General features: G+C 45.2%; 1 protein-coding gene across 1 annotated transcript in view, besides 1 other annotated feature; it reads left to right on the forward strand.

Moving 5' to 3' along the window:
* The window catches only part of GASK1A (golgi associated kinase 1A), a 78405-nt gene extending 68340 nt beyond the window's left edge, over positions 1-10065 (forward strand). Inside the window, exons 3-5 of the mRNA NM_001129908.3 lie at positions 5871-5993; positions 7782-7885; positions 8526-10065. Of these exons, the coding sequence (NP_001123380.2) occupies positions 5871-5993; positions 7782-7885; positions 8526-8736 (438 nt within the window). The 3' untranslated portion in view covers positions 8737-10065. The remainder of the gene's footprint in view (positions 1-5870; positions 5994-7781; positions 7886-8525) is intronic.
* Positions 14925-15444: an enhancer, noted in NCBI's record as "H3K27ac-H3K4me1 hESC enhancer chr3:43104067-43104586 (GRCh37/hg19 assembly coordinates)". NCBI's record gives its function as "activates a minimal SCP1, AML or CMV promoter by ChIP-STARR-seq in naive H9 embryonic stem cells {active_cell/tissue: H9 hESC(naive)}" and the evidence as "EXISTENCE:reporter gene assay evidence [ECO:0000049][PMID:30033119]".

Raw genomic sequence — 19080 nt, forward strand, 5'->3', positions numbered from 1 at the left:
TCTCATACTCTTCTTCTCTCTTTCCTGCTGGACATGAACAAGGAAACATATTCCCACAGCAACTACCTGCAGGCATCCTAAGACAACACTGGGATGCTGTTAACATTGTGGGTGGTAACGTGGAGGGCAGAAAGCAACCCAAGTCCTTATCATGATAATATGGAGCTGCTAAATCCACCCAACCTGCCCTTCCTCAAGACTTCCTTCTGTAGATAATCTCAATCTTCCTTATGGTTTAAGCCATTTGGAGTCAGGTTTTTCTGTTACTTGTGGCTGAAAACACTCCCATTGGTATAGTAGCTTACTGGTCTGGCGGCACATAACCTAAAATTGGCAGGGGAAGGAAAGGCAAATGAATGTGACAGCAAAACCATCCAAAAAAGATTCAATGGGTTGCAATGAAAGATTAAAGGAGGAAATGGAATAGTGTTAAATGCAAAGTCTACTGAGGGCCTGTGAGTCAGTGGTATAAAGGCAGGTTAATGAAGCCCTGGCTGAATGGACACATATGAGACAGAGACTTGCTAGTTTTAGACATGCACAATAGGTGTCAACAATATGATAAGATTGGTGAAGATGCTAATTCAGTCTTAGCATCTGGAATCAGGGAGGCGATGTTTCTGTGCTACTCCGTAACTTGATTCTCAGCTGTTGTGTCCAGTGCTAGGTACTAAAGTATGATAAGAATATTGACCAACAAGAGCCTGGACATGTGACAGCAATAGAGACCATGAGGGGTTTCTATCTAGGTTTGAGTTCCCCAAAAAGGGACTCTGAGACTAGAATTTGAATAGAGCAATTTATCTGGGAGGTGGTCCTAGGAAACCTGGTGAGCAAATGGGGAAGTGAAGCAGGGAAGGAAGAAAAGCTAATGAAGGGTACAGTAAAGAGCAGGCTGCCACCATGGGCAAGTGAGGCTGAACCCAGATGAGGGCCCTTGACAGACTGTGTAGAACACTGCTGTGGGGTATCATTCCCCTGGGAGGTGAGGGGCTATGATACTTGTACACTAACTGCCATAAGTCATTGTTTGAAGCTTGCTCCTGGAGGCATTTATTTTCCAGCACATTTGCCTGCTGCATGGGTGGGTCAAGCCTGTTATGGGCAAGAGTACCTCTACATATGGGGACTGTATGGTTGGGACCTTCTGTAGGTGAGCCCTAGGTTCATGGATGGAGAGCATCAAAAGCATCTACCATAGTTTCAGAACCCAAGTGTGTTTAACCTGGATGAAGGAAAATTCAGGGGGCGCATCACTTGGAGGGAGTTTGATTCCAAGCAACAGAGACTAACTCTGGTTAACATAAGCAAGAAAAGAATCTACATTTGGTAAGACATTAAGGGCTTCAAGGAATGGAAGAAAAAGGCCTGGGAAGCCTGAAGAGTCAGGGGAAGGATGGAGGGTATATGGTTAGGGGAGCTTGGACCCCATCCTCACTTCATGGCTGGGTGTGCAGGGTACTTGGATTGTTGATGCCACCAGACTGTATCTAGCAGGGAAGATTGATTCTCTTACAGGAAAACCAGGAACTCTAATGAGTGGTGTGCATGCCAATGTGTTTAGAGGGAAATTTCTAATGTCTGCAACTTACTTTGAAATGCATAAAAAATAAGAGATAAGATGACTTAATGGATAGATATAGAGATGTATCAATAGATATGTCATAAAGTAAGCATAATAAAATATTCATGGTAGAATCTTAGTAATGGGTATGTGGATATTCACCATAAAATTATTTCAAATTTGCTGTTTGAAATTTTTTATAATAGGGTATTAGAGGAAAGAAGAAAAATTGAATATTGGTTACCCAAAGTTCAGGAGGCCAAAGCAGTAAAGAGGGTACTCCTCAGGAAGTCTTGCTAATTGGCTTATCGCATGAACAGGGCTGTGGTTCTTTGCCAAGCTGGACCAATCTTCTGGGCTTTGTGCATTGGCCTCTGGGCTAAACTTGTTTTTTTTACTAGAATCAGTGGATATATTTAATCCATTTGGTCTACTGCCCTCAGCCTATCTAGACCTGAGATGTGCTTTCTCCATGTTTAACTGTATAAAACAGAAAATAATGTTTGGGGACAGTACTTGGGACTATTGAATGCTGTCTCATTTCTTAACATCTGGTTTTGTGAGATTAGTTGGTGACTAGAACTGTAGTTATTTTCTTGGTAGTTGCACTGGGATTACCATTAACATCTTGATTTATAACAATCTAGGTCAGATTACCAGCAATTTAATTTCAATAGTGTAAAAAGACTTTCTTTCTATATAAATCTCTCCCCCCCCACTTTTATGCTATTCTTGTCACAAATTACATCTTTATACATTTTCTGCCCATCAGTATAGATTATAATTATTGCTTTCAGCAGTTTTTTTTTTTAAATCAGAGGGGAAAAAAAGAAGTCCAGAACAAAAAAAAATACATTTATACTGTCTTTTATGTTTATCTATGTAGTTACCTTGAACAGAGCTTTTTAGTTCTTGACATTAATTCAAGTTACTACTTAGTGTCCTTTCATTCAACCTGAAGTCCTCCTTTTAGTATTTCTTGTAGAAGAAGCCTGCTGACAATAAACTCTGTTTTTGTTGTTCTGTTAATGTCTTCATTTCTCCTTAATTTTTGAAGGATAGTTTTGCTGTATATAAAATTCTTGGTTGACAGGCTCTCTTTTTTTTAATTTAATTTCAACACTTTGAATGTTATTCCTCTGCCTTTTGGCCTCCATGGTTTTTGATAAATTTGATATCAAATTACTCTTTGAAAGAATCCTTTTTATGTGATGAGTGACTTCTGTCTTGCTGCTTTTAAGATTCTCTCTCTGGCTTTTGACAGTTTTATTCTAGGTGTAGGTCTCTTTCAGTTTATATTAATGGAGTTCACTGGACCTCTTGGACGTGTAGATCAATGCTTTTCACCAAATTTGGGGAGGTTTTGGACATTAATTCTTCTAATATTATTTTCACATCATCCTCCCTTCCTTTTAAAACTCCTCTTATATATATGTTGGTACACTTGATGGTGTTACATGGGTCTCTGAGGCACTGTTTATTTTTCTTCATTTTTTTCTTCTTATTCCTCATACTTGATAATCTCAGTGGACCTATCTTCAGGTTTTCTGATTCGTTCTTCTGCCTGCTCATAACTGCTGTTCGATCCTCTCAGTGAATTTTTAAAAGTTGTTGTACTTTTCAACTCCATAATTTATATTTGGTTTCTCTTTATAATTTCTATCTCATTATTCATGTAGTCTTTATGGTGAGGTATCGTTCTCATACTTTACTTCTCTAGGCCTGATTTCCTTTAGTTCTTTGAACATATGTAAAATAGCTAATTTAAATTTTTTTATCTAATGTCTGGGCTTCCTCAGGAAAAATTTTGATTGATTGACTTTTTTCATGCATATTGGCCATACTTTGTTTCTTTGACTGTCTCATATTTTTTTGTTGAAAACTGAGTATTTAAATAATATAAGGTGGCCACTTTGAAAATCAGATTCTTCTTTTCCCCAGGATTTTTGTCATTGCTGTTTGTTGTAGTTGTTTTTGTTTGTAGTGGTTTTCTTTATTTGCTTGTTTTATTTTTATGAACAAATTCTATAGTCATCTGTATTCTTTATTGTATATGGCCACTGAAATTTCTGCTCAGTTAGTTCAGTGATCAGCTGATGATTGAGCAGGAGATTTTCATGAATTTCCGGAGCCAGTAAGTCTCCTAGTCTTTGCCAAAGGACTCTGTGTGTGTGTTGAGGCATCTCCAACACGTATGTATGCAATTGACAAATCTGCTTTTGCCTTCATTTGTGCTTGTATAGTCTCAAGGTCAACCAGAGGTGAGAGCTTAGGGTATTTTCAGTTTTTTCCTGAACATGTGCACAGTCCTACACATGTGCATGTGGCTTTCTAGATTTCCAGGAACATATTGGAGCTTTTCACAGCCCCTTGGACATTTCATTTCTTATCTTTTCCTTTTAAAGCTTTTTGGTTAATCTATTGTTTGTCCCAATTGTTATCCATTGTCTCAGACAGCCATGGTGTTGAAACATTTGCCAGTAAATGTTCTCAACAAATGTCCTCTACCCTTCCAGGAGAAGGCTTTTAGTACCGGGCAACCAAAAAACCATGCCTTTTAGTGGAGTTTACCAGGGAATCACCAGACACGTCAGATAATGACAATTTTCTTGCAATGAGGTCTGCTCTGCTCCCTTCATACTGAGTTTCCAGGTTCCCAGGCTGATGTCTTCCTCTCCAGTGTTGTTCCCAGGCTTTCTAATTCAGACTAGCCCTTCTGCAAAGATGGGATCAGAGTGTCCAATCTAGGTCTTCCCCACACCAGGCTCTTTTAGGAACTTAGTACATTTTGCAGCCTGAGAGTTAGATACCTACCAGTCATTGTCCTGACTGGTAGATCCCAGAGATCCTCAAGGCCTCCCCACTGACTTTCACCACCATCTGGGAGATTTAAGAAAACGACTAAAACCCCTAGTCCCATAACCTGTGGGGTCTGGAGCCCTTCCTAGGATTTGGACAAATCCCAAGGAGTAGATGGACTCTTTCTGTTTCATGTGCCGTGAGCACTACCTTGACTTGCCCCACACCAAACCTGAACTCAAAGCTCAGCATCCACCAAACATTTCACAAGGGCGGCAGCTTCACTGAAGGACAGAGAACTTGTGGAAGGGCACATCTCAGCCCCAGCCTCCTGCTGCTCCCTGCTTCCCTTCACCTTCTCTATTCCTCTGTCCTCCTCCTTCCACAGCAAGAAACTAACTTTTCTTCTTGTCCCATGCAATGCAAGTCCTCCCTCACCCAGACCTCCAGGGATTTCACCTTCTACCCTAGGCATTCATTGAGGTATTGCATCAAACCAAGTTTCCTTCATAAAAGGAAAATAGAATGAGTTTTCCCCGGCTTGCCCATCCTGTGTGTGATGGTGATTCCCTACTGCTCAGCCGCCCTCGCTTCATCTTTCATCCACTTCCTAGCATCTCCCAAACCTTCTCCAAACCAACTCCTCACTTCGACTATTCTCCCTTTCCTGTCTTTCTCCCCACAGCAAGCCCTCCCCTAACCATCCTCAGAGGACTCTACCACTTCTTGCTTGTATGCCTCTCCATCCTCAACCTCTTTGTCCTAGATACTTACAGCAGATACTATCCTCATGTAGGTCAGGGCTGGGGTAGACCCACGATTCTTCCTATTGCTGACTTTCAGGCTGCACCTTTCCTTCTGAAGAAAGCATCCCGGAAGCAAGTGAGTGGGAAGTGTGATTCTAGGAATCCTCTGATCCACTCTAAAATGCTGTGGGTGTCATCTGTATGTGTCTATTCAGGGGAAGGGTGGCAAAGCTCCTCAGAACTGACTGCACACCACATTGAGGATGTCCTCCTCTTTCCCTGGCTTGATTCAGGCCTGCTGCAGGGTGAAAGAGCTGTCCAGTTGGAGCTGTTGAGATGATCATTGAAGGACTTGCACCTCTAAAGAAAGGAGGAATCCCTGATGTAGCATTTGCTGCTTAAAGAAAAAATAGAGTGATGTGGAATCTCCCTAGGTAGACAGGCAGACGGTCAGCATTCAGAGCCTCAGAGGTGCCAGGCTAGAGCTAAAGAGCAACAGTGTAGGTTAAGCTGTGGGCACTGGGTGAAAATCCACACTGGCCTGAGGCATGAGCAAACAGCTCCTGGTGCGCAGAGTGATCTGGCCAGAGGAGGAAAGCGGAAGCCCCATTTAGTAATGACCAGCACAGAGAACCAGTGAGGGTCACCCCTGCTGTGGCCCCAGGGTCATGTAGGAAACAGCAGGTCAGGTGGCCTCCATGCTATGCCTGGTGGAGGCAGGCCCCCTGCCGCACCCCACCGAAGGCTGGGTGTCTCCACAGGTCCACGACCGCTTGGATCGCTACTGCTGTGGCTTCGAGCCTGAGCCCTCAGACCCCTGTGTGGAAGAGAGGCTCCGAGAGAAATGCCAGAACCCAGCCGAGCTGCGGCTGGTCCACATCCTGGTACGTCTCCTCCACACCATCCCCTTGTCACCCCAGACCCAGGTCTTTCTGTGTCCTTCAGAAGATGCTGTTAACAAGTTTCAGAGATCAGTTGATGCTGGGGTTTCCCAGTCTTGTTCTTTTCAGCAGCAGAACCAGTTGTTTGAATATTTCCAGGAGTCCGCAATATATAAAGCTGACAAAATGGAGCTTTAAGAATGTGCCTGAGGAGGGGTGTGGGGTGGGGGCTGGAGCCTTGTTTTCACTGTCTCCACTGCCCCTAAGAGACTCCAGGGAACAACTAGGGCTCCTGGAAGTAGAGTTTGAGAATGGTGTGTCTAGTCAACATCCTCGTTGTGCCAGTAAATGAGGAATTGCAGTCTGGAGGGAAAGGAATCTTCAAGGCCATACGCTAGCAGCATTAGGGCATGAACCCAAGACTGCAGTGGCTCACAGGCTGGTGCTGCTCCTGTCAAAACTAGAGTCCAGGGTGGGAAGCAATGTGCCGAGGCCATTGGAGAGGGCAGAATAGCCACTTCTTCTGCATAAGAAGCAAGGTGCTTCCCCCGGGGAAGGGCTTCTCTATCTTCTCCTGCAGTGAGGCATAGTGTCCTCACAGCCTCCCTTTGCTCTTAGAGGGTAGCTGTCAGCATGGTGTCCAGGGATGGGCTTCAGGGAGGCCGCATCACCCGAAGCCCAGGATTGCTTAGTGGTGGTGCTGGGAATTCTCCTCCCCTACCCCCAGAGCCATCTCTCCTTTTCCCTGGTCAAAGGTAAATATCCATGGGAGAGACAAAGTTTTAATAGCCATTGTTTACCCCTGGTGAGCAGGCATTTCACAGATCTTTTAGGACAGCAGTTTCCAGAGGGAAGAGTCACCTGGCTTTGAGCAAAAGGTGATCCTGACATGTGGAGTGGGGTGAGAAAGGAGAAGAGGCAGAGAGAAGGGAAGCTGGAGTCCTGGAAACAGAAGTTCATAGCTTAAGCCTAGGCCACTGGAGAGGATTGTGGGAAATGCCCATGGACTTTTGGAGGCTATTTGGGAAAGGAGTGCATGCATGGGAGTGGGGACCAGAAGAGATGGCCTCCCATTCGCAACCACACCATATTCTTTAAGGTACTAAAGAATTTTCTGGTGCTGATTTTGGTTTTGAAAAGGTTTAGGAGCTGCTAAACTCTTCTGTAGAATCAGATTATGGTCAGTGCTTTTTGAGGATAAAGGATATGTCTGTGATCTCAGTGATGCTCAGGGGGATGCCCAGGTGCACAGGCACAGGTGGCACAAAGGGGTGACTGAGTGTGTGTACACATGTGAGCAGCACATGTGCGATGCCCCTCACAGCCGGTGGCCCCGAGGAGCAGGCTACCTTGGCAACTGCTGATTCCCACCCTTGCTCCTCACCCCTTCAGCCACCAAAATAGGATCAGTCCTTTGGCCTTGCGATTTAGCAGATGGTGCTATGGCTTAGCCCCATGGGTCCGGGTTTGAAACAGCCCAGCTACTTACTAGCTGTGTGATTTTGTGCAAATTGCTTAACTTAAAGAAGGTGCCACCATTTCTGTAAAATAGGGCTAACACTAGTGCCTGCTTCCTAAGGTTACTGGGAGAATTAATTGACAGGATGTCTGGAAGCACTTAGCACAGTGCCCAGCATAGAGTAAGCACTCAGCGGTGAGGACTGTTTGTTAGGATGGACTGTGGGACTGACAGCTCAGGGCTGTCAGCCCCTTAATCTTGACCAAGTCCATAGGTGCCAGCCGTAGCTGCACCCTTACCCACCTCTGTCTCTGTCCACCCTCTTCCCTGAGGTCCGGAGCAGCGATCCATCTCACCTGGTCTACATCGATAACGCTGGCAACCTTCAGCACCCTGAGGACAAGCTGAACTTTCGGCTGCTGGAGGGCATAGATGGGTGAGGGTCAAAAGGGTTGGGTGGAAGTTCATGGGACTGAGACCTGATGGCCTTGCTGCAAACCTTGGGACCTTCAACTGTGGCCCTGAGAAGCCCACAGTCCATCAGACAGAAGTTATTGGATCAGAACTTTAGGCGGTGGTGGGGAGCCCTGGGAAAGCTGAGAGGGGATACAGTTGGCAGGGCCTACCCCAATATCCAGAGGGCCTCGTGCCTGCAGAATACTAGCTGTATTGCTGGGGTGTGGGAAGGCTAGTCCTTCCCTTGTTCTGGGTGAGAGAGCTAGGCCAGAGAGTCTACCCCTCCCAGCTCACTCTTGGCAGGCAGCTCTGCCTTCCCAGGATTCTTTCTGGCCCTGCATTTGCCAAGTGGAGCCTGGGATAGCGGAATTTATTCACCTGGCTTCTCTGTAGGATGGGACCCATCTGAAAGGTCTGTCCCCTGCCTTCACAGCAAAGCCAGGCAAAGGGTCCTCTGTTAGTGAGATAGCAGGTGCAGGTCTGGGGAGTTTGCCAGGTGACTTTACCAGAGTTCCTCAGCTATGCAAGCTCTGGCCATCTGGCATCACCTGTTACTGAAATTCTCTGAGATTACTGTTGCTTTTTCTTTCTGTTACGGGGCTCTGGGGCCTTTGCTCCAGGTTTCCTGAGTCTGCCGTGAAGGTTCTCGCATCAGGGTGTCTACAGAACATGCTGCTGAAGTCGCTGCAGATGGACCCAGTGTTCTGGGAAAGCCAAGGCGGAGCCCAGGGGCTGAAGCAGGTCCTCCAGACCCTGGAGCAGCGAGGACAGGTGCTGCTGGGACACATCCAAAAGCACAACCTCACACTCTTCAGGGACGAGGACCCATAAGCCGCACACAGCCCTGAGTCAATGAGCATCCATCCTGATGGCCACATTTTCTTGGGCTCACTCATCTTGAGGACAAATGGGAAAAGCCAGAAGCCAGAGGGGCACAAGGATGTCACGGGATATTTCACCTGCCTGGGATGGTGGAGGTAGTATGGGGTTTTCAATCTCAAAGCGTCCCTTTCTGCCTTCTCGGCTCTGGCTATTTATTCCCTTGCACCAACAAATACATTCGAAAATGTTCTGTGAGCTGCTCAAGAAACTGTAAAAATGTGTGATGCACGTGCATATGCAGAGTGGGAGAACTTTGTGTGTGTGTAGAGGTGTGTAGGTGTGGGTGGCATGTGTGCCCGCCTGCATGCAATACCTGAGACCAACCTAATAAAGGTACAATCTTCATAGAACTGCACTTGCAGCCTGGAGTTGCTCTGGCTGAAAGTAGACTCAGGCTTAAGAAATGAAACATAATGCGTTTGTCTTTATAGACTTTAAATTTTCAATTATTACTCAGTTATGTTTTTGGTTTAAAAAATTATAAAAGTCTAAAAGTAATACATGCTCAGTAAAAACAAGTCCATAAAAAATAGAAGCATATGACAAAAAGCATAAGTCCCACAAACTCCCTAGCGGTGTGTATGTGTGTGTGTGTTATTCATGGTCACACTACATGCAAATTAAAAAATGAAAGTGTGGTCATGCTTTGTCAACTCACTATATTTTTACTTTATTAACTATATTCTGTATCAGCCATCTGAATTGACCCAATCTTTATTGGTGACTGCATGAAATTCCAAGGCAGGGATGTGTCATATTTTCTTTAGCTGGTCCCATAATCATGAACATTTAAGTAGCTCCAATTTTTCATCAATTACAGACATTGCCGCCATGAACATGATTGCATGGCGTGCAAGTATTTCTGCGAGGTAGATTTCCGTACGGGATTTCTGGGGCAAAGGGTATGGGCATTCAGTATTCTGAGAGAAACTGCCAAATTGCTCTCTGAAATGGTGGTGTCAATTTACATTTCTCCCAAGAGGGTAGGAGACTGATTATTTTTCTACACCTTCACCAACACTTGGCATTCTCAGACTTTTGGGTTTTTTTTGGCCTATTTAGGAGGAAAACCGATTTTAAAAGCTGCATTTCCTTAATCATGAATGAAGTCATCTTTCCACTTATTTGCCAGACATTTGTATTTTCTTTTCTGCATTGTCTTTTTGTTTTAAGATGTTTGCCCTTTGCTTGTTAATTTGTTGGAAATCTTTGACTCTAATAAGTGTGATCAATCTTTTCTCTGCTGACTTGGTATAAATGTTTTCTTCCAGCCTCTAATTTGTCTCTTAACTTTGTTTATAGTCTTTTGCCAAGTGTAAAATGTTAATTTCCACGTAGTCAAATTTGTTTATCCTTCCCTTTAAGTCTTTTGAGTTTCATGCCTTCTTAGAAAGGCTGTCACCACTTCAAGATTATTGAAATAATCTGTGTTTTATTCTAGTATTATACAGTATTTCTTATATATTATATAGTATTTCTTATATATTTTCATATATTTCATATATATTCCCTCTAAATTAATATATAAAACCTATATTTTATATGGATTTAAGCAGAGAATGGTGTGAGTTAGGGATCTAACAAGTTTCATTTCCCTTCAAATGGATAGTTAGTTGCTGTAACATTATTTCATAGTCCATTCTTTCTTTACTGCTGTGAAAGTATACTTTTATCAGATATTAGGTTCCCACATGCACAGAGGTCCATTTGTGAACTCTGTTCTGATATTATTTTTCAGTTCCTGCATTAGTATGACAGTGTTTTAATTAAAGTTACTTTATTCTTTTTTGCTGTCTGGTAGGCTGAGTTCCCATATTTTTATTCTACTTTAGTTTTTTCCTTTGCTATTTTTGTGCATTTGTCTTTCATGTGATAATGTCAGTCTATGAAGCATGCCACCCCTCTCCTTTTATCCTCAAAATCCCATTGGTGTTTTGATTGTGATTATATAGAATTTATAATTAGTGGGAATCTGACTTATTTGAATATTGAGTGCTCTCATTCAGGTTTATCAATCCACCTATTCTTTGATAATCTCTAGCAACATTTTTTTGTTTATTGAGACAGGGTCTCACTCTGTCACCCAGGCTGGAGTACAGTGGCAAGATCTCAGCTCACTGCAGCCTCAACCTCCTGGGCTCAAGTGATCCTCTCACCTCAGCCTCCTGAGTAGCTGGGACGGCAAGTGCACACCACCGCGACCAGCTAATTTTTGTATTGTTTTGTAGAGATGGGATTTTGCCATATTGCCCAGGCTGGTCTTGAATTCTTGAGCTCAAAGCATCTGCCCATCCCAGCCTCCAAAGTGCTGGGATTACAGGCATGAGCCACCGAACCCGGCCTCTAGTAACATTTTAATGTTTTCTTCAGCAAATAAGCTCATTTTAAAGATAGTTTGCAATTTCTACTCCTATTGAGAATGAGTTCTTTTTCTTGATTAGATTTTTCTAGATAGAATTTTAGGTGCATATCTTATAGTTTTTAAGTAGAAAATAATATTTTCAAATAATGATAATTTTACATTTATATTTCATAAGTGTGTGTGTGTTCTCCTCTCATTTATTTCTATTGTCTTATTACTTAGGTTGGGAGCTTTCTGGAGGAAAATTGAGTAATAATAGCAACAATAGTAGGCATCCACATCTTATTCTGGACTTTAATGGGAACACCTCTGTGGTTTCTATTATGTTTTGTCAGGTTTAAAGAAATCATTTCTGATAAATATCTTTCATTAAGTTAAGGAAGTTTCTTTTTATTCTTAGCTTACTAAAACCATTTTTCAAAAATCAAGAATGGGGATTGAATTTTATTAAATGCTCTTTTCAATATCTATTGAGCATATAGTTTTTCTCCTTTATTTTCTAATGCTGAATAATCTTTACATTCTCAGAAAAAACCTATTAGGCTGAGGTATGTTAGTATTTTGGGAACTGCAGAATTTAACTTGCCAATATTTTACTTAGAATCTTTGCATATACATTCATAAGGTTTTCCTTTTTGGGCACTCCATGGCTGTCTTACTATTAAATTTAAACATACCTCATAAAATAAATTCAGAATTTTATTTTATCTTTTTAATGCTTTGTAAGAGTTTAAATAAGAACCATTTATTCCTCAAAAGTTTTATAGCACTCTCCCATAAAACCATCTGGGCCCTGTGCCTTTTGCTAGATCTTTTACAACCTAATGTAGGAGATAGGTAACAGGGGCCTGCAATAAACCAACATGCCTGGCATATTCAGTGGGCGTGGAAATGTAGAAGTGTCCTGGGCAAGACTCAGGCCCTTGGAAAAGGGAGTTTGGATTTAGAGATTTCAGGCATTTCTCTTAAGGTCACCAATGTTTATTTGACTTTGACTTTTTGTCTTTTCTCCTCTCTTCTTCCTGTGTTCTCAGTTCTTTCCAAGGATACCCTTATCAAGTGATGCTGTTCCTCTAGGCCTCAGCCAGTTTCTGTTTAACAGTCTCTGCTTTGCCTTCTGCCTGGTAGACCTACACTCAGCCAGAGGTGGGAGTGAGACACTTGTCATCCTAGAAAATGGCAAGAAGAAAGGAATACAAAGAAACATTTCATTGCAAAACATAATGTGGAGCTCTCACATTAGGATGAGGCTCATTCTACTTTGTGACTTAACCAGCCGCTTTGAAATAAAACAGATCTAATCCTGTCTCACCACCGAGAGACTGACATGCAAGTGGACAATGCCCAAACTACATATAATAATAAAACTCTATCCACCACCTCTGTAGCAACCAGCTCAGAGAACCAACCACAATGTCTGTAGCATCTGCTCAGTAGGGTGAAGACCTAGTCAGTGACTGCCAGCTTCCTTATTTTTGTCCCTACTTCCAACTCAGGATCAATCAGAGAAAGCCAAATATGCTCCCCTAACCAATCAGTTAGGATGCCCCACCTCTAGTTTGCCCATCTCCAGTGTCTCTCATGCCAGCAGCCTCCAATCAGGGTGCACCTGGAGCCTTCCCTTTCTTTCTCACTATAAAGCTTTCCCAGTCCCTGCCTGTCTTGGAGTCCCTGCCAAATGCAAGTGATGGTGCTGACCCCCTTGCCGTAGCAAGCCTCTGTCTGTTCTCCCTTGGGTGGTCTTTGTTGATTTCCATACTGCCTGGCTGTAAGAATTAAACAAAGTTAACTAGTAATCCAGGTGAAGGCACTGGCCCGGCAGCTGGAAGGGTAGGCAAACTGAGCCACATTCTGAGAGCAGGTTTCCTTTACACTGAAATGGGGCAGAGGTGGCCGCCTAAGAAAGGAGGGGAAATCTGCCTGGCAGGGTTGCCTGGTTTTGTGGTGTGTGTGTGTGTGTGTGTGTGTGTGTGTGTGTGTGTGTGTATGTAGAGTTTCTCTTTGAAAAGACCAAGCCAGACTCTTCCTGTCAGTGAGCAAGGCCCCAGCTTGCACCAAGCCCTTTTGTGTGCTGATGTGAACAGGTCTGCTCAGCATAGACAGTGGGGGCACATGGGCAGATACGGAGTGGCCCCTCTCAGCCTGCCCAGTGCACAGCAGCCACTTGTAGCACTGTGGCATAGGACCCAGCTCTCCCTCCTTAGCTTATCTGGGAAGGACACCATTTCCAGGCACTCCCATCAACACTGACCTCTTCCTACCTGGGGCGGGGAGAAGGGCAGACTCCCTAGGATAGGTGGTTTACATGGATCAAAGCATTTAACCTCACAGCAACAACATGGGGAGGTGTGATTGTTACTCTCTCCATTTTACAGATGAGGCACAGAGGGGTTAAATAACGTACCTAAGGTCACCCAGCTTGTAGGTAGAAGGGTGGGACTTCAAACCCATCAGGAACTGTGCTAGCAAGTCTCGCTTCCAAGACCACCGCTTTTCCCACCACACTCCCCAGCCCAGCCACCCTGACAGTTCCTCTTCTGCTAATCCCTTTGGATTCAGAAGGATTAGCAGGAGAAGAACTTTCTGTTAAAGATGTGGCAGGGCTGGTTCTCTAGTCCAGGGAGCCGCAAACTGCAACTCCTGGCCAAGCACATTCACATGCATTTGGCTCTTGGCTTGTTAAAGTCTGCCTAATCTATTAGCTGTGTCTTTCCTGCAAACTGGAAACTTCATCCACTTTTATCCTTTTCAAGAAAGCCTCTTTGCCTCAGTGCTTGCTGTTCACCCAGCCATTCCCTCTGGAATGAGAACCATGTGCCAAGTGAAGCAAACAGCTGGGAATCAGTATGTTCCCACTAAGCGTAGAAGAGTCTGTAGGGTTGGAGCTGCCATGGGTCTGCAGTGGGTGGGGTGCCGTGAGGGTTCTGCTCCGATTCAGACAGATGAGCCTCAGAGGCTCTGCTGAGGCAATCACAATTGCCAGCCTCCGTGCTGCCAGACAGGCCTCACCCCAGGTCCAACCTGCTCCTCCTGCATCCCCAGCTGAATGGGCTGCTCCAAGAAAAATGATGGTTTCCAAGCTAGAGGAGCTGAAGATAGTAACACAGGTTCGCAACCTTCTAGATGCGATACCAGCAATTCCCCAGAGCATGAAAATCAAAAGCTTTTTTGTATGTTTGGTGCTAAAACTCATGTCCCACTCAGTGTGAATATTTATACAACTTACTGCAGAAATAGTGATGTGTTGGGTTATTGGGTGTAACCTCGGACTCTGTTGAGGGCACTGCATAATGCACGGCATGTGAACCATATTACCTTTCTAAATCTGAGAGATTCAGAATTCTGAATCACATCTGGCCCCCAGGGTTTGAGTATGGGATTCTGGACAGACCTGTAATAACTCATGCTAAGGGCTTTACACATCTTATCTCATGAATGACTAACAACAACCCCAATTTGATTATGGTTACCCTACAGATAAGGAACAAATGACAGAGGTAGCGGGGAGGGAAAAAAGAGAGGTGGCTTGCCTGAGGCCACACAGATGGGAGCAGCAAATTTTTACCCGTGATGCTGGACAGATGCTTCAGGGATCCTGAGATCTTTGACTTCAGAAGTTTCCAAGGTGGAGGCCCTGGGTGTGGTGCATCTTGGCGATGTGGCCACAGCAGCATCTGAAGGCTCTGTGGTCCTGAGGCCAGAGCCCTGTTCAGTGCAGCCCTTCCTAAACTTATTTTGTCAAAGAGCCCTTCCTTTGGTTTTTTTGTGGCCTTTGTGTTGCTGTTATCTTTGTTTTACAGATGAGGCACAGAGGCGTTAAGTAACGTCTGTCAGCATTCCTCAAGATGCACTTTGAGTCATCCTGACTTGGCTGAAACCCCTTTGTTCTGCAGACAAGGATCCTGAAGTCCAGAAAGGCCTGGCCAAGGATGCAGGCGATGGCTCTCCCCTGGAGGGGTGAATGCGATGCTCCTCCTCCCCTAGCCACGGCCCCCACCCTGAGTGGAATGTCAGATGTGGGTTCCCTGAGTTGGGTTGGGAGCCTGGAGATTGGAAGGAAGCCAAGCAGCTCCTTGGCCCGTTCATCCCCCATGAGGCTGGAGGGATGTGAGGAGCCAGCCCACGTGCCTCAGTGGTCTGAGGTTTAACTGACTTCTGCCATACTGTAGGCCCGTGCTGGGCAGACTATTATCAACTGAGTGGAAGTAGGAAGCATGAGTGCTTATCCTCCTCTGTCTGCACCCCCAGGCACTCTGTGTTTCAAAGGCACCAGAGAGGTTGTGGCTGATCCAGAGAGTGAGTGCTCCGATGGACGAGAGTCGCGGTTGGAAGAATGGGCAGAAGTTCCCATAGCCTGAGCCATCTGGACGGCAGGGCTCTACCCAGGCTGGAGGGGCTGCCCCTCCTGGCAGGAGCTGGTGTCTTCCTTGTGCTCTGATTCCTGCAGTGTGCAGCTCACATGCTTGGAGCCCTGAGCAACCTCCTCAGTGCAGGAGCTCTGGGCTAGCCCCACCCCACCTCTCAGACATCATCCTGGGTCCCCTGGCCTGCTGCTGCGTCTGAGAGCCTGAGCAGACTCTGAAACCATCCATTTGTGGCTGCAGCTGCGAACTTGAGCCAGCATCAGAATCATCTGGAGATCTTGTTGAAACACAGATTGCTGGGCCCCACCCTCAGAGTTTCTGACTCAGTGGGCCTGGGGTGTGGCCTAAGAATCTGCATTTCTGTCAAGTTCCAGGTACTACTGGCACTGCTGGTCCAGGGACAACATTTTTCAAGTCTTTGCTGTTAAGGAAAAGGTGGAGCCTCTCCAGAGTTTATGAAAATGCCAGGCAATTTGGAAATTGTGATGGAATCATTCTACAGTGTATTTGAGAACTAAACAAACAGCTTATTCTAGCAAAATCTGAACTATGTAAGTCCCTCCAAAAGGAGTGTTTGGAGACTGATAGGAAGACTTAGGAAGGATAGGAGATTTAACCCAGCTTTTAATCCAAAGGAAGAAATCTCTGCAAAGAAGGCAGCCATTGGTTTTGGTTTGCTTAAGGACAAGGCAAATATCTGAGGTCCATGTGAGAAGAAACGTCAGGCCCGTAACCATTTCCTCAGGCTGCCTTGACAATCTTCCACCAGTGGGGTGGTTCAAAACCATAGTTCTGGGGGTAAGTCGAAATCAAGGTGTTGGCAGGTTCATGCTGCCACCTGAGGCTCTGGAGAGAATCTGTCGCGTGCTTCTTCTAGCATGTGCTGGCTGCCTGGCATTCCTCCTTTTTTGTTTGTTTGTTTGTTTGTTTGTTTTGAGATGGAGTTTCACTCTTATTGCCCAGGCTGGAGTGCAATGGTGAGATCTCGGCTCACTGCAACCTCCACCTCCCGGGTTCAAGTGATTCTCCTGCCTCAGCCTCCCAAGTAGCTGGGACTACAGGCATATGCCACCACACCTGGCTAATTTTGTATTTTTAGTAGAGATGGGGTTTCTCCATGTTGGTCAGGCTGGATTTGAACTCCCGACCTCAGATGATCCACCCGCCTTGGCCTCCCAAAGTGCTAGGATTACAGGCATGGGCCACCGCACTCGGTCTTGTTTTGTTTTTTTGGTTTGTGGCTGCATTGCTCCAATCCCTACCTCTGTTTTCACATTGCCTTCTCCACTCCATGTGTGTCTGTGTCGAATCTCCCATTGCCTTGCTCGTACAAGGACACTTCACTTGTTATTAGATTTAGGGCCCACCCGCATAATCCAGGGTAAGAGTTTACTCTCAGGATTTTTAGATATCACTTTCACCAAATAAAATACTATTCAGTCTTTTGCATTTAAGGTAGTATTCATAGATTCTGGGGACTAGGAAGTGAATATTTTTTTGGAGGGCCATTCTTTCAGCCTGCCACAGTGAAATACTGTAGTCTGTTCATATTGGCTTGCAAGAGCTTATGTTGTAAAGCACAGCCATTATTAAAAAATAAACCTGATTTTCAGGAGCCAAGATGGCCGAATAGGAACAGCTTCCGGTCTACAGCTCCCAGCGTGAGCGACGCAGAAGACGGGTGATTTCTGCATTTCCATCTGAGATACCGGGTTCATCTCACTAGGGAGTGCCAGACAGTGGGCGCAGGCCAGTGGGTGCGCTCACCGTGCGCGAGCCGAAGCAGGCCGAGGCATTGCCTCACCTGGGAAGCGCAAGGGGTCAGGGAGTTCCCTTTCCAAGTCAAAGAAAGGGGTGACGGACGCACCTGGAAAATCGGGTCACTCCCACCCGAATATTGCCCTTTTCAGACCGGCTTAAAAAACGGCGCACCACGAGACTATATCCCACACCTGGCTCGGAGGGTCCTACGCCCACGGAATCTCGCTGATTGCTAGCACAGCAGTCTGAGATCAAACTGCAAGGCGGCAGCGAGGCTGGGGGAGGGGCGCCCGCCATTGCCCAGGCTTGCTTAGGTAAACAAAGCAGCCGGGAAGCTCAAACTTGGTGGAGCCCACCACAGCTCAAGGAGGCCTGCCTGCCTCTGTAGGCTCCACCTCTGGGAGCAGGGCACAGACAAACAAAAAGACAGCAGTAACCTCTGCAGACTTAAATGTCCCTGTCTGACAGCTTTGAAGAGAGCAGTGGTTCTCCCAGCATGCAGCTGGAGATCTGAGAACGGGCAGACTGCCTCCTCAAGTGGGTCCCTGACCCCTGACCCCCGAGCAGCCTAACTGGGAGGCACCCCCCAGCAGGGGCACACTGACACCTCACATGGCAGGGTATTCCAACAGACCTGCAGCTGAGGGTCCTGTCTGTTAGAAGGAAAACTAACAGAAAGGACATCCACACCGAAAACCCATCTGTACATCACCATCATCAAAGACCAAAAGTAGATAAAACCACAAAGATGGGGAAAAAACAGAACAGAAAAACTGGAAACTCTAAAACGCAGAGCGCCTCTCCTCCTCCAAAGGAACGCAGTTCCTCACCAGCAATGGAACAAAGCTGGATGGAGAATGATTTTGACGAGCTGAGAGAGGAAGGCTTCAGACGATCAAATTACTCTGAGCTACGGGAGGACATTCAAACCAAAGGCAAAGAAGTTGAAAACTTTGAAAAAAATTTAGAAGAATGTATAACTAGAATAACCAATACAGAGAAGTGCTTAAAGGAGCTGATGGAGCTGAAAACCAAGGCTCGAGAACTACGTGAAGAATGCAGAAGCCTCAGGAGCCGATGCGATCAACTGGAAGAAAGGGTGTCAGCAATGGAAGATGAAATGAATGAAATGAAGCGAGAAGGGAAGTTTAGAGAAAAAAGAATAAAAAGAAATGAGCAAAGCCTCCAAGAAATATGGGACTATGTGAAAAGACCAAATCTACGTCTGATTGGTGTACCTGAAAGTGATGCGGAGAATGGAACCAAGTTGGAAAACACTCTGCAGGATATTATCCAGGAGAACTTCCCCAATCTAGCAAAGCAGGCCAACGTTCAGATTCAGGAAATACAGAGAACGCCACAAAGATACTCCTCGAGAAGAGCAACTCCAAGACACATAATTGTCAGATTCACCAAAGTTGAAATGAAGGAAAAAATGTTAAGGGCAGCCAGAGAAAAAGGTCGGGTTACCCTCAAAGGGAAGCCCATCAGACTAACAGCGGATCTCTCGGCAGAAACCCTACAAGCCAGAAGAGAGTGGGGGCCAATATTCAACATTCTTAAAGAAAAGAATTTTCAACCCAGAATTTCATATCCAGCCAAACTAAGCTTCATAAGTGAAGGAGAAATAAAATACTTTACAGACAAGCAAATGCTGAGAGATTTTGTCACCACCAGGCCTGCCCTAAAAGAGCTCCTGAAGGAAGCGCTAAACATGGAAAGGAACAACCGGTACCAGCCGCTGCAAAATCATGCCAAAATGTAAAGACCATCGAGACTAGGAAGAAACTGCATCAACTAACGAGC

This window comes from Homo sapiens, chromosome 3 (genome assembly GCF_000001405.40).
Source record: "Homo sapiens chromosome 3, GRCh38.p14 Primary Assembly".
In the NCBI taxonomy this organism is placed as follows: domain Eukaryota; kingdom Metazoa; phylum Chordata; class Mammalia; order Primates; family Hominidae; genus Homo; species Homo sapiens.